General features: G+C 36.7%; 1 annotated feature.

Moving 5' to 3' along the window:
• Positions 12639-12830: a silencer, noted in NCBI's record as "fragment chr4:174653179-174653370 (GRCh37/hg19 assembly coordinates)". NCBI's record gives its function as "represses an EF-1alpha promoter that drives an FKBP-Casp9 reporter gene in an ReSE screen in K562 erythroleukemia cells {active_cell/tissue: K562}" and the evidence as "EXISTENCE:reporter gene assay evidence [ECO:0000049][PMID:32094911]".

Here is a 13063-nt window from a genome sequence, read left to right as displayed (position 1 = left end):
AAACCCTTTCCAAAGAAGAATTCCAAACATCTTATAATTCAGACACCTGGCTTATGTTCTTACTTCTGCTATTGACAAAGTGGTTTATTCCTTAACCTGCTTCCCATTTAGTAGTAAGAATTTCTTATTTATAATTTATGTCTGACTTTAGTGCTCACTTATTAAATTATACTGATGGAATAAAAAGATGAAATTTAGTTTTCTCACTTTACCATATCTAGTAAGAACATATTACAATGAAAATAATAGAACATAAAAACACAAAAACAAGACCGGGCACAGTGGCTCATGCCTGTAATCCCAGCACTTTCGGAGGCCAAGGTGGATGGATCAGTTGAGCTCAGGAGTTCGGGACCAGCCTGGGCAACATGGTGAAACTCTGTCTCTACTAAAAATACAAAAATTAGTCGCACGTGGTGGCACAAGCCTGTAGTCCCAGGTACTTGGGAGGCTGAGGCAAGAGAATCGCTTGAACCTGGGAGGCAGAGGTTGCAATAAGCCAAGATTGCCCCAATACACTCCAGCCTGGGCACGAGAGAGAAATTCTGTCTCAAAAACTAAATTAATTAAATAAATAAATATATAAATAAATAAGACACAACAAAATAGTTTATATGGAATCTCAAAAACATCTAATCCATTTTTGCTGTGATACATATCAAATGAGGTTTTTCTTAAGTATTTTTTAGCTGAGAGGATTAGACTGGCCTCTGATTCCTCATCTACAGCAGTGGATATCAGAATATAATGAGTTATTTTAAACTTACAATTCTATACCCAGCTAAATTATAATTCAAATTAACAGGAAAAAATCACCTTCAGTCATACAATGACTTGAAAAATTGAACCCACAGGCACACACTTTCTAAAAAAAAATTCATGAATAAAATGTTAATAATTCCAACCCAGTAGCAAATTTTAAGAAGAACACACAATGAACAAACAGGTTTATTTTTGGAAACTAAAGATGATTTAAATTTAGAAATCTAGCCATGTAATTCACTCTATTAATATATAAAAAGAGAAAAACCCATAAAATTATTTTATAAGCTGCTGGTAAAGCAGTTCCTACAATTCCTATTGCTGATAAGAAGAGAATAAAGAGCCCTGGAAAAGTTCTAAAAACTTGAAAATTATGTCAAAACCTGTTACAAATACCATAGTTAAGCATCAGCAAATAAGATCATGAGCTAGGCAAGTATGCTCACTATCTTTATTGTTTTTCAAGCTAATCCTGGAGCATTCCTGTCAATGCATTAAAATAAAAGTGAAATGTATGTACTGGAAGGAAAGAAACAAAGCAAAACTGCCTTTATCTGCATATTATATATATTTGCCTGCCTAAAATCTCCAAGACAATCACTTGAAAAACTGCTAAAACTAATAAGAAGGTACAGTAAGGTAGCCAGATAAAATATAAATATACAAAATCAATGATCAATTATAAACATAAGGGAAAACAAAAATTAGCTAGGTGTAGTGATAAATGCCTACTACTACTACTTGAGAGGCTGAGGTGGGAGGATCGCTTGAGCCCAGGAGTTCAAGGTTATGAGAAGCTATGATAATGCCACTGCACTGTCGCCTAGATGATAGAGTCAGACACTTCTCTAAAAATATGTGTGTGTGTGTGTGTACCTATGTGTGTGTACATATATTCATATATATGTAAGAAAAAACATCTAAATCACAAGAAAAACAAAAAGCAATGAATAAAGACAAGGTTAACAAGAAATATTAACGTGTACTTGAAGAAAACACTTAAACTAAAGAACCTAGGAAAGGCCTGAGTAAGTAAAAAGCCAACACTTTCCTACATGGGAAAACACTAAAATGTGACGATGGCTATATTCATTTGCTAGGGTTGCCATAACAAAGTACCACAGAATGGGGAGGATTAAACAATACAAATTTATTTTCTCACAGTTCTGGAGGCAGAAGTCTAAGATCAAGGTATCAGCAAGGGGAGTTTCTTCTGAGGCTCTCTCCTTGGTTTGTAGATGGCCATCATCTCTCTGTGTCTTCACTTGGTCTTTCCTCTGTACCTACTTATGTCTAAATTTTATCTTCTTAGAAGGACTAATGTCCCATTGGATTAGGGCTCACCCTAATTACCTCATTTTAATTACTCCTTTAAAAGCCCTGTCTTCAAATACAGTCACATTCTGAGGTACTGGGAGTTAGGACTTCAACATAAAAATTTGGGATATTGTGGAAAACGATGCAGTTCATAACAATGACATTTCTTTCTCAAAATAATATAAAATGTTGAAGCAATTAGTGAAATCGCAACAGAACTATCTTGAAATCTAAGATAATTATAAAACTTACTCATAAAAGTAAATGCATAAAAAAAGTATGAGATAGAAGAACACTGAGGCTCAACTTGCTCACAGAATTTCAAAGCATTCTTATTTATTTATTTATTTATTTATTTTTACTTTATTTTACTTTTTTTGAGACAGAGTCTCACTCTGTTGCCCAGGCTAGAGTGCAGTGGCATGATCTCAGCTCACTGCAACCTCTGCCTCCCAGTTTCAAGTGATTCTCCTGCCTCAGCCGCCTGAGTACCTGGGACCACAGGTGCGTGCCCCCACGCCCAGTTAATTTTTGTATTTTTAGTAGAGACAGGGTTTCACCATGTTGGCCAGGTTGGTCTCGAACTCCTGACCTCAGGTGATCAGCCTGCCTCGGCATCCCAAAATGCTGGGATTACAGCCATGAGCCACCTCAAATTTCAAGTTATTCTATAAACCTGTGGAAAGCAATTGTGGTATAGTGCTTACCAGCACTGACCTTGGTTCAGTAATGCTGGGGCTCCATCTCAGCTCAGCTGCTTGCTTAGCCCAGTAACCTGAGCAAGTTACTTAACCTCTTTGGGTCTCAGTTTCCTGATATGTAAAATGGTGATAATAGTATTAATTACTGCATAAGTAGTTGTGAAAAAAAGAATAGTGTTTAATACATATTAGAGACTCAATAAATATTAGAGATTTTTATTAAAGGTGGCTATTACACAGTTAAACTAATACAAAGAATACACAAATAGGTCAAGGGAACAAAATAAAAACACACAAAATACAGTGATGTTGGCATAGGAATTTAGGCTATGAAAATGTTGACACTAAAATCTGTAAGCAAAAAGATGAACTATTAAACAAAGTGAAAAGAAAGCCACTTCTGTAAAAAATTATTTGCCAGTACCATGCTGTTTTGGTTACTGTAGCCTTGTATTATAGTTTGAAGTCAGGTAGCGTGATGCCTCCAGCTTTGTTCTTTTGGCTTAAGATTGACTTGGCGATGTGGGCTCTTTTTTTGGTTCCATATGAACTTTAAAGTAGTTTTTTCCAATTCTGTGAAGAAAGTCATTGGTAGCTTGATGGGGATGGCATTGAATCTATAAATTACCTTGGGCAGTATGGCCACGATATTGATTCTTCCTACCCATGAGCATGGAATGTTCTTCCATTTGTTTGTATCCTCTTTTACTTCATTGAGCAGTGGTTTGTAGTTCTCCTTGAAGAGGTCCTTCACATCCCTTGTAAGTTGGATTCCTAGGTATTTTATTCTCTTTGAAGCAATTGTGAATGGGAGTTCACTCATGATTTGGCTCTCTGTTTGTCTGCTATTGGTGTATAAGAATGCTTGTGATTTTTGTACATTGATTTTGTATCCACAGAGCCCTCAGAAATAACGCCGCATATCTACAACTATCTGATCTTTGACAAACCTGGCAAAAACAAGCAATGGGGAAAGGATTCCCTATTTAATAAATGGTGCTGGGAAAACTGGCTAGCCATATGTAGAAAGCTGAAACTGGATCCCTTCCTTACACCTTATACAAAAATTAATTCAAGATGGATTAAAGACTTAAACGTTAGATCTAAAACCATAAAAACCCTAGAAGAAAACCTAGGAATTACCATTCAGGACATAGGCATGGGCAAGGACTTCATATCTAAAACACCAAAAGCAATGGCAACAGAAGCCAAAATTGACAAATGGGATCTAATTAAACTAAAGAGCTTCTGCACAGCAAAAGAAACTACCATCAGAGTGAACAGGCAACCTACAAAATGGGAGAAAATTTTTGCCACCTACTCATCTGACAAAGGGCTAATATCCAGAATCTACAAAGAACTCAAACAAATTTACAAGAAAAAAACAACCCCATCAAAAAGTGGGCAAAGGATATGAACAGACACTTCTCAAAAGAAGACATTTATGCAGCCAAAAACCACATGAAAAAATGCTCACCATCACTGGCCATCAGAGAAATGCAAATCAAAACCACTATGAGATACCATCTCACACCAGTTAGAATGGCAATCATTAAAAAGTCAGGAAACAACAGGTGCTGGAGAGGATGTGGAGAAATAGGAACACTTTTACACTGTTGGTGGGACTGTAAACTAGTTCAACCATTGTGGAAGTCCGTGTGGTGATTCCTCAGGGATCTGGAACTAGAAATACCATTTGACCCAGCCATCCCATTACTGGGTATATACCCAAAGGACTATAAATCATGCCGCTATAAAGACACATACACACGTATGTTTATTGTGGCACTATTCACAATAGCAAAGACTTGGAACCAACCCAAATGTCCAACAATGATAGACTGGATTAAGAAAATGTGGCACATATACACCATGGAATACTAAGCAGCCATAAAAAATGATGAATTCATGTCCTTTGTAGGGACATGGATGAAATTGGAAATCATCATTCTCAGTAAACTATCACAAGGACAAAAAACCAAACACCGCATGTTCTCACTCATAGGTGGGAATTGAACAATGAGAACACATGGACACAGGAAGGGGAACATCACACTCTGGGGACTGTTGTGGGATGGGGGGAGGGGGGAGGGATAGCATTAGGAGATATACCTAATGCTAAATGACGAGTTAGTGGGTGCAGCACACCAGCATGGCACATGTATACATATGTAACTAACCTGCACATTGTGCACATGTACCCTAAAATTTAAAGTGTAATAATAATAAAATAAAATAAAAATAAATAAATGGATTAGAATGATGGAAAAAAAATTATTTGCCACATAGCAGATACAGATTTAAAATTTATAATATATAAAAACTTAAATTACCAAAGGAAATTGGGCAAAAGTTATGAACTGGCAGAAGAGGAAGTACCAAAGACTGCTAACGATACAGAATCATGTTTAATATCATAAGTAAAAAAGGAAATGGAAATTTAAACAATAAGATATGTTTCCACCACTAGATTGGCAAAAACTTGAAAGCTTTATGATATCCAGGATCCATAAGTTTCAGGAAATGGGAACTTGATATATTGTTAGTATAGACTTTGAAAGCACAATGCAGCAATATCCATCAGAATTATGATGTACAAATTACTTGACTCAGCTTTTACTTATAAGAATTTCTCCTACAGAAATAGTAAGAGAGATGGTTGTACAGAATCTTTATTCTTTGTGTAGTGAAAAATTGGAAACAACCTAAGTATCCAGAGAATAGGGGGGAATATGAAACATTCATACTATGGTATGCCAAAAAGAATGAGTTAAGCATATAAATTGAGGTGGGAAAGTGTCTATCAGTTATCAAGTACTTGTGATTTCAAAAATGTTTATGCCTAAACATTCATAAATGGCTATTTTTAAAGTCTGGAGATACATACATAAACAATAGTTATCACCACCCAGGGGAGAAGGTTGGAAGAGAGAAAAAGTTTTAGGGAAGCTTACTTTTATGTATCTGAATCACTTGTAATTTTTAAGGTTATCAGGTATTAGTTTTATATTTAAAAATTGAAATATAAGATACCAACAATTCATTATAAGTCTGAGACTACAGGTGGATGATCTCTGCCAGTTGCTCACCAGAGAGGATGAACTATCAACTGTAACACTGGCTCTGTAATTATGCTCTGCTAGCTGGGGAAAGCACAGTACTATTGCCAGGGAAAGGACATATGAAAAGAGAACTGTTGGAAGTGCTATAGGAAGGCAACCAGGGGAGCTTACATTCCCCTAATTTACTGTTCCCCTACAGTAAGAGATTCATTCAAAGAACACTTCTAGCTTATCTGCCCCTATGCCAATTGTTTCCTAAGGGAAAAGGATAGAATTAACTAACTGATGGGTTTGGAGTAGAAAGTAAACAGGCCTGGATCAGCATTTTTCCTCATTCTCTTTAGGATCTGACCACATGCAGATGTTCTGATCTACTCTTGCTCATGTCACAGACTTAGTGGTCAAGACTCTATACCTAAATAGGAAGGTGGCCTGTGGTTGTTCAGAACTGCCTTGACTGAGAAGGTCTTGTGCCCAATTCTTGGGTTCCACTAGGAAATGTCTTATAACCACATAAGTCATGTCCCCCAACCAAGCCTTTATTAACTGTAACAAAGCTGTCATTTTGATTTTGACATGCCTGTTTCTTGGTCCCATCTCTCAATTAGTTCCAAACTCTGGAAGATTAAAGCAACTTAATTTATTATTAATGACAAATTCCAGATGCTTCTAGAGAGACATTATACAGTTCATATCAGAGTTTCATTCTTTTATTCACTTATTCAGTCAGCAAACACTGAGCTAGGCTCTGGGGATATAAAGGTAGAAAGAACAGAGAGACTACACTTAAGGAGCCCACAGTGTGTTTGGGAGAGAGTCATATTAAACAAATACAGCATTGTCTTCAGGCAACGGCAAGGTCAGAAACAGGTATGTAGAGGAGGTGATATAAGCTTAATTTTCAAACTGAGAAGATTACACTATGTTGGTGGGGGCAGTAATGAGGATATGGCACATCCGGCAGAGGGAAAAATACAAGTGAAGGCAAGAAAGTTCAGGAGAGCTTGGTGCGGTCAGGGCGCTCTATGAAGTTTGGTGAAAGTAAAGTGCAGTGTGTATATTGGGATGATGGCGACTGAAACTGAAAAAAGTTGATCAGATCTGCATTATGCAATACTGTGCATATTATGCTCATCTTGAATTCAATGGAGAAATCACTGAGGAATTTTTAACACTGAAGTAAAATGGCAAACTGTATTTTTGACAGATCATGCTGATGGCATGTGAAAGATAATGTTTCTTCATACCTTTAAAACCTTGACTTCTAATCAATTGCCATGTAAGTTCCCATGAAAATGTGGCAATTAAAGAAGATGTGCAAAATTAGCTACTGCCTCCTGAAAAATTTTGGCTGTAATTAGATATCATGTTGGAATCACACTGTTCTGCCAGCGTCTCAAACATAATAATAATAAAGATTGATTTTTCTACTTTTCATTGTATTCATCTTCCAAGGAGCCTCAAAAGCAGGTTGTAATTATTACTTTCTCCATTTTATATGTGACAAAAAGTACCCATAAAGGGATTAAGGGGTTATGCTCTAAGCAACAAATCAAAAAGTGAGCCTAAATTTTTAAATCTGATTAAGGCTACATAATGGTGGGTGATTTTCTTCCATATTGCAAATTCTTCCCATTATGATTTTCATTTTACTGTAACCATAACAATTAATTATGTTTGGAACATAAAATCTAACTATTTTCCCCTAAGCATGAATCCAAATTCAAAGTAAAATGAAATAACTAGTATAAAACAGGTTTTTGCAAAGGAATGAAGATAATATTTACCCCATATTTAATTCTTCTCTGAAACATTCCTAAACTACTTTCCTTTAGTGTAAATAGTTCATTTTGGTATTCTGTAAGGAGATCACACTGTCTTGTAACTAGCCTAGAACACTGGATGTCAGGCTAAATATAGCAGTACAAAGGTTTCAATAAACTTCCTGCATTGTGTCATGACTTCTACACATTGAAAGAGCCATACCCTACCAAACTGTTTGAAAGTCAAGAGATTCATGCACCACAGCCTTGCAGAGCTGATGGTCCCATCACTTAACCCTTTCCCAGGATTTGTACTTCTTTGCATTCCTGGTGTATACATAAAGCTTTCAAAAATAAACAATGCCGGGCAACATTTCAGTTCTTTGCTGTCTATTCTCATAATTGCACAACACTACTGCCTGCAGTTCTCTGTCACACTTTAAATATGGAAATATGTAGTGCCATTATTTTATACGTTTTAGTAATTTTTAAAAGTCATATCCAATAATTCTATTCTCATTCAATGAAAAGAATGGGGAAGATATCCTTTATGCTTCATCTAAGTGAAGTGCAGTGTGCATATTGGGATAATAGTGGCTGAAACTGAAAATATAAACACAATATCCCAATAGGTTCAACTTCTGAAGGGAAATATAAACATTACCTCTATAAAATGCTCTGGAGGGAGTTTATATCTCCCTCCAGAAGTCAGACCCTTTGGGATATTGTGGATAGTTGCAACTATCACCATATTTGCAATGTCTTATTAATTTGAATTAAATTATAATTTGGGTATCTGACCACATGTTTCAGTTCAGAAACTCAACTAATTGATATTTTTATGGTACACGCAATAAATATCTAAGTGTTTAAGTGGTAACATTATTAAAAGTAGCTGATAAAATTAGACAAAAATAAGCTGCTATAGATTTTTTCAGAGGAAATATTTAATCCAGTGTTCACAGAATTGTTAATGTATACTTCTCAGGTCTTTGGATGGCCATGGAGTATTTCATTTCCCTGGATGGAGGTTAAACAGTTATCTTTCAGTAAAATGTACATGAAACCCACATAATATCCTGATACTTTTATTTCCCCTTTTATCTACTCTTGATGCCAAGGAATTCTAAAGGGAAAGGATCCTAGCCACACACCATGTGTGCTCCCTGCATGTGAAGAGTGATGACTGGAAGCTAAAGCTTTGATTCTGCAAATGTTAGAGCTGAAGGGATCATCCAGGGATAGGACAACCTTGAGACAAAACCTAGTGAAATAAAACAAAAACAATGAGTGGTTTCCTAGATATTCCTAATAGTCCTTTATGAGATTCTAATGTGTTTCGTTAACGTGAGCTTGTTTTTCTGTTTTGAGGGGTTTCTGTTTTGGTTTGGTTTGGTAATTTCCGTCTTTGAGCCACTCCACACTTATTGGTTTTGGCTGGAAGTGCTGGTTCTGAAATACCATCATAAAGCCAGTTCTGGAAGCCATGCCAGCCAAAAGTCTAGACTTAGGAGTTTCAGATAAGGGTAATACATTTACTCATTCCAAAGTTTGCTAGATTGTAAGTGCCTTGAAAATTAACACCATATTTTTTGCCGTAAAATTATACATAGAAAGTGTTAAGTACCTCCTTCAAGTGCCATAGACTTCACATTAAATAGACAACAACTAATAATTTGAATATCATTAAATGAATAAAGGAAACATACCCTTTTATAAATGTTGCTGTCATTTTCTTTGCAATCTTCTCCTCATTTATCATCAAAGCACTACCTGGAATGGCACATTCAAAACTTGCCACAAGCAGCTTTCTTTGCTGAATTAATTGTTGGATTCAAATATGTCCATATGGCCGCCAGCCATGTTCTATTGAAGTGGTTTGCCTGTAAAAATGGAAAAAACATATTTCTATCCCCAGGGGAAGAAAAAGAAAAAAAACTTTTAAGGAACAAAACAAAATATAAAAGGCACAGAGAAATCTATCCTCTTGCCATGTGAGTCATACCAATTTAGAGGCATGTCCTAACATAAGCTCGTGTCCACTGGGAGAGAGGCTCTAAATCTTCAGCCCTGCTATGTGCTTCTTCCTCTGCATTTATTGCAGATGGCACCAATCACAATGATAGTAATCCTTGACATTACATAGCAACAAATGTAATGCACCGTTGAAGGTTCTTTCTAAATTAAGTAAAAGATCAATGTAAACCTACATTTACTTAGAATATTTATTTGGGGAAAATAACCCTGAGTAAATGAAACCTACATTTACTTAGAATATTTATTTGGGGAAAATAACCCTAAGTAAATGAAACCTACATTTACTTAGAATATTTATTTGGGGAAAATAACATGGAATCCTCTGAATATTTTAACAGGAAGCATCCAAATTGGGGCAGCTACAGTTGCCTTGAGTATTCCTCTAACATTTCCACAGGAATCCAGGGAGAGGGACAGGGTAGAGGTTCACTTCAAGTGGAGGCCGGAGAGCATGACCTAAATTTCCTCAGAGAGAAGCATATATGCACATAGAGCACCCACAGTCTCTGCCTTTAGTTCTTCCTGCTTGATGTCACGGATTGTGTGCTATGTATGTCTGGAGCCCCAGCAGCACTGTGCATGCCATGCACTGGGTGAATAAGAGTTTGATGAGTGAATAAATGAATGAATGACATCAATAACCTAACCACTGACTCAAATGGGGGGGGGGGGGAAGCCAACAGATCTATTAAATTTAAAGCTTTAATCTCTTGATAATAGTCTCTTAGGTTATTTTTTCTGTGGAACATCAAATACCTATAAGATATCCGTATGCCTGGATCCAATTCTTTTTCCATATGAATGATACTTCTTTTTCTCCTTGTAGCTCCAGAGTTAGGGCTGACACAATAATTGGCTTGGTTATGCTTAGAACACTTCTAAATGTGCTATATTTATGGTCAGGGCTGACACCAATATTGTTCAGTTACACTTGACCACATTTACTTTTCTATTGATTTTTCTCCTACTATATTATACAGGTAGCTAAAATTAGGAGCACATAACTATAGGTTATTTCTTTAAATACCCCCAAAATTCTTTGCCACTTTTATCTGCATCACCTGATGAACAGATAAACTGAATCTCAGACCTGGTGAAATGAACTGAAAGTTTATAACATGGTTTAATGAGTATTCATGTGTGACGTTATTTTAATGATTTTGTTTTTCTACCGAAGTAGAGTACAGTGTATGAGAGTCACGCCAAAAGGGCATACTGACCCCTTCTAATCTCTAGCGGATCTGTTATTCTCCTAATAAGGATCTGGTGCTGGACATTTGGTGATGGCATGGTATAATTTTAGGACTGAACATTTGGATGTGCAGAGTAAAAGGACAAAAGAGAACAGGCAATGACAACTTAATAATGCAAAAATAAAAAGCAGGCAAAATGACTTAGCACATTCAAAAGCTCATCAATTTTGCATTCATTTGGGATGCTAAACTGAATACATCACAGATTCTCAAGCAAATATCTATAATTCTATGCTCAGAATTCCTCTCAAGGAAAGGAAAAGATAATCAAATATATAGAAAAATAAGAGAAAACTATAACATTTAATATTTCTCATAATCTGTCCAATACAGCCCAATGCTTATTAACAAAACAAATAATTATACTTTCCTTGTCAACAGAATAGACAAAAAATTTATAGGAGAATAGGTTATGACAGTGAAATACACTATTTAATCACAAGCACATAAATTACATATTTATTGAATGTCTACCGGTTTTGCTTTATTTACATTATAGTTTTCATGTATTTTCCCAGGTAATTAGTAATTCCAGAATCCTTATATGGCCAAAGGTTGTCAAAATATAAGGCACCACAATATCTGCAAGGATAAACATTATATTTAGAGTTGAGTGGGGAAGACACACAATTCAGAAATTCCAATTCAGAATGATAAAATGCAATGAGATTCTCAGCAGGGACACTAACTCACTGGAGGAGGAGACAGGGAAGCCGCAGAAGGAAGATCTGGGAAGTCCTGACAGAGAAATCACAGCTAAATTAGGTCTACAGGCTGAATAGGAATGATTCGATAAAGTGAGGGTGGGGTGGGGGGGAGTGGGGATGAGGGTATAAAGGGAAAGGGGTCAGGAAAAATATTCCAGACAAAAGGAACAGCATCTGTGAAGGCCTAAAAGAAAGAGCAAAGCATGAAACGGAGAGAAACAGAAATAATTCATTATCAGTGAACATAAAGTTAAGAGCAGAACATGAGGAGAAGACTCGGGATGAATAGGGTCCCAATCATGAAGGGTCTTATAAGCCATGTTAGAGACACTGGAATCAATCCCAAGGACACAGCAAAGCTAGATAAAGGTCATCAATGAAGACATGTCAAGATCATATTAGCCCATTTTGAAATGTCATCCTCACTGCCTTGTGAAAGTGGATATACAGAAAGAGCAACCAGAGGTGAGGGAGAGGAGGGATGAGTTAGGAAGCTGTTCACAGATCTACCCAGGAAATGTTCATGACCTACTTGATGACAACAGCAACAGGATGGAGAAAAACAGGTGGCTGTGAGAGGTTTTAGGTGTTGAAAAAAAAAAAAAAAAAGCAGGATTTAGGGATTGACTATATGCGTGAGTGAGGGAAAGAGAAGATGCCCAGGATTTCAATATGGGCAGCTAAGCGGGTGGTCACATAGTTCCTTGGTATAGGTTGAGACAAGGAAGAAGAGATATGGGAAGAAAGGAAACAGGAGGAGGAGTTAGTTCACTATGTTTTGGAAGTTTTAATTTTTAGGTGTCTGTGAACTGTTTAACTGTAGATGTCCTGAAAGCATTTCAACCTAAAATTCTGGAGCTCAGGACTGAGGTCTGGGATGGGGATACAAATTTGGGATTAATCATTAGGGATCAGGGATTTTTTTTTTTTTTTTTTTTTTTGACAGACTCTTGCTCTGTCATCAGGCTGGAGTGCAGTGGCGTGATCTCAGCTCACTGCAACCTCTGCCTCCCGGGTTCAAACAATTCACCTGTGTCAGCCTCCCAAGTAGCTGGGATTACAGGCATGGGCCACTACACCTGGATGATTTTTCATATTTTAGCAGAGACAGGATTTCACCATGTTGGCCAAGATGGTCTTGATCTCCTGACCTCGTGATCCTCCCACCTAGGCCTCCCAAACTGCTGGGATTACAGGTGTGAGCCACCGTGCCAGGCCTGGGATCAGGGATTCTTAACCGGCAGTTCATGATAGGTTTCAGAGGGTTCCAGGATCACAAGAAATTACATGCAAAATGTTGTGCATATTTTCCCTTCTTTGCCTAGTTTGTTAAGGTGCAACATATTAATTTAAAGCTCTATTTTTTTCTGATATACAATATTTTACATATTTATGAGTTATATGTAACATTTTGTTATATGAATGGAGGGTGTAATGATCAAAACTCTATGTTATTTTCTA

Source organism: Homo sapiens, chromosome 4 (genome assembly GCF_000001405.40).
Source record: "Homo sapiens chromosome 4, GRCh38.p14 Primary Assembly".
Taxonomy (NCBI): Eukaryota; Metazoa; Chordata; class Mammalia; order Primates; family Hominidae; genus Homo; species Homo sapiens.
The sequence above is the reverse complement of the archived record's forward strand: the minus strand, read 5'-3'. Positions and strand labels throughout refer to the sequence as shown.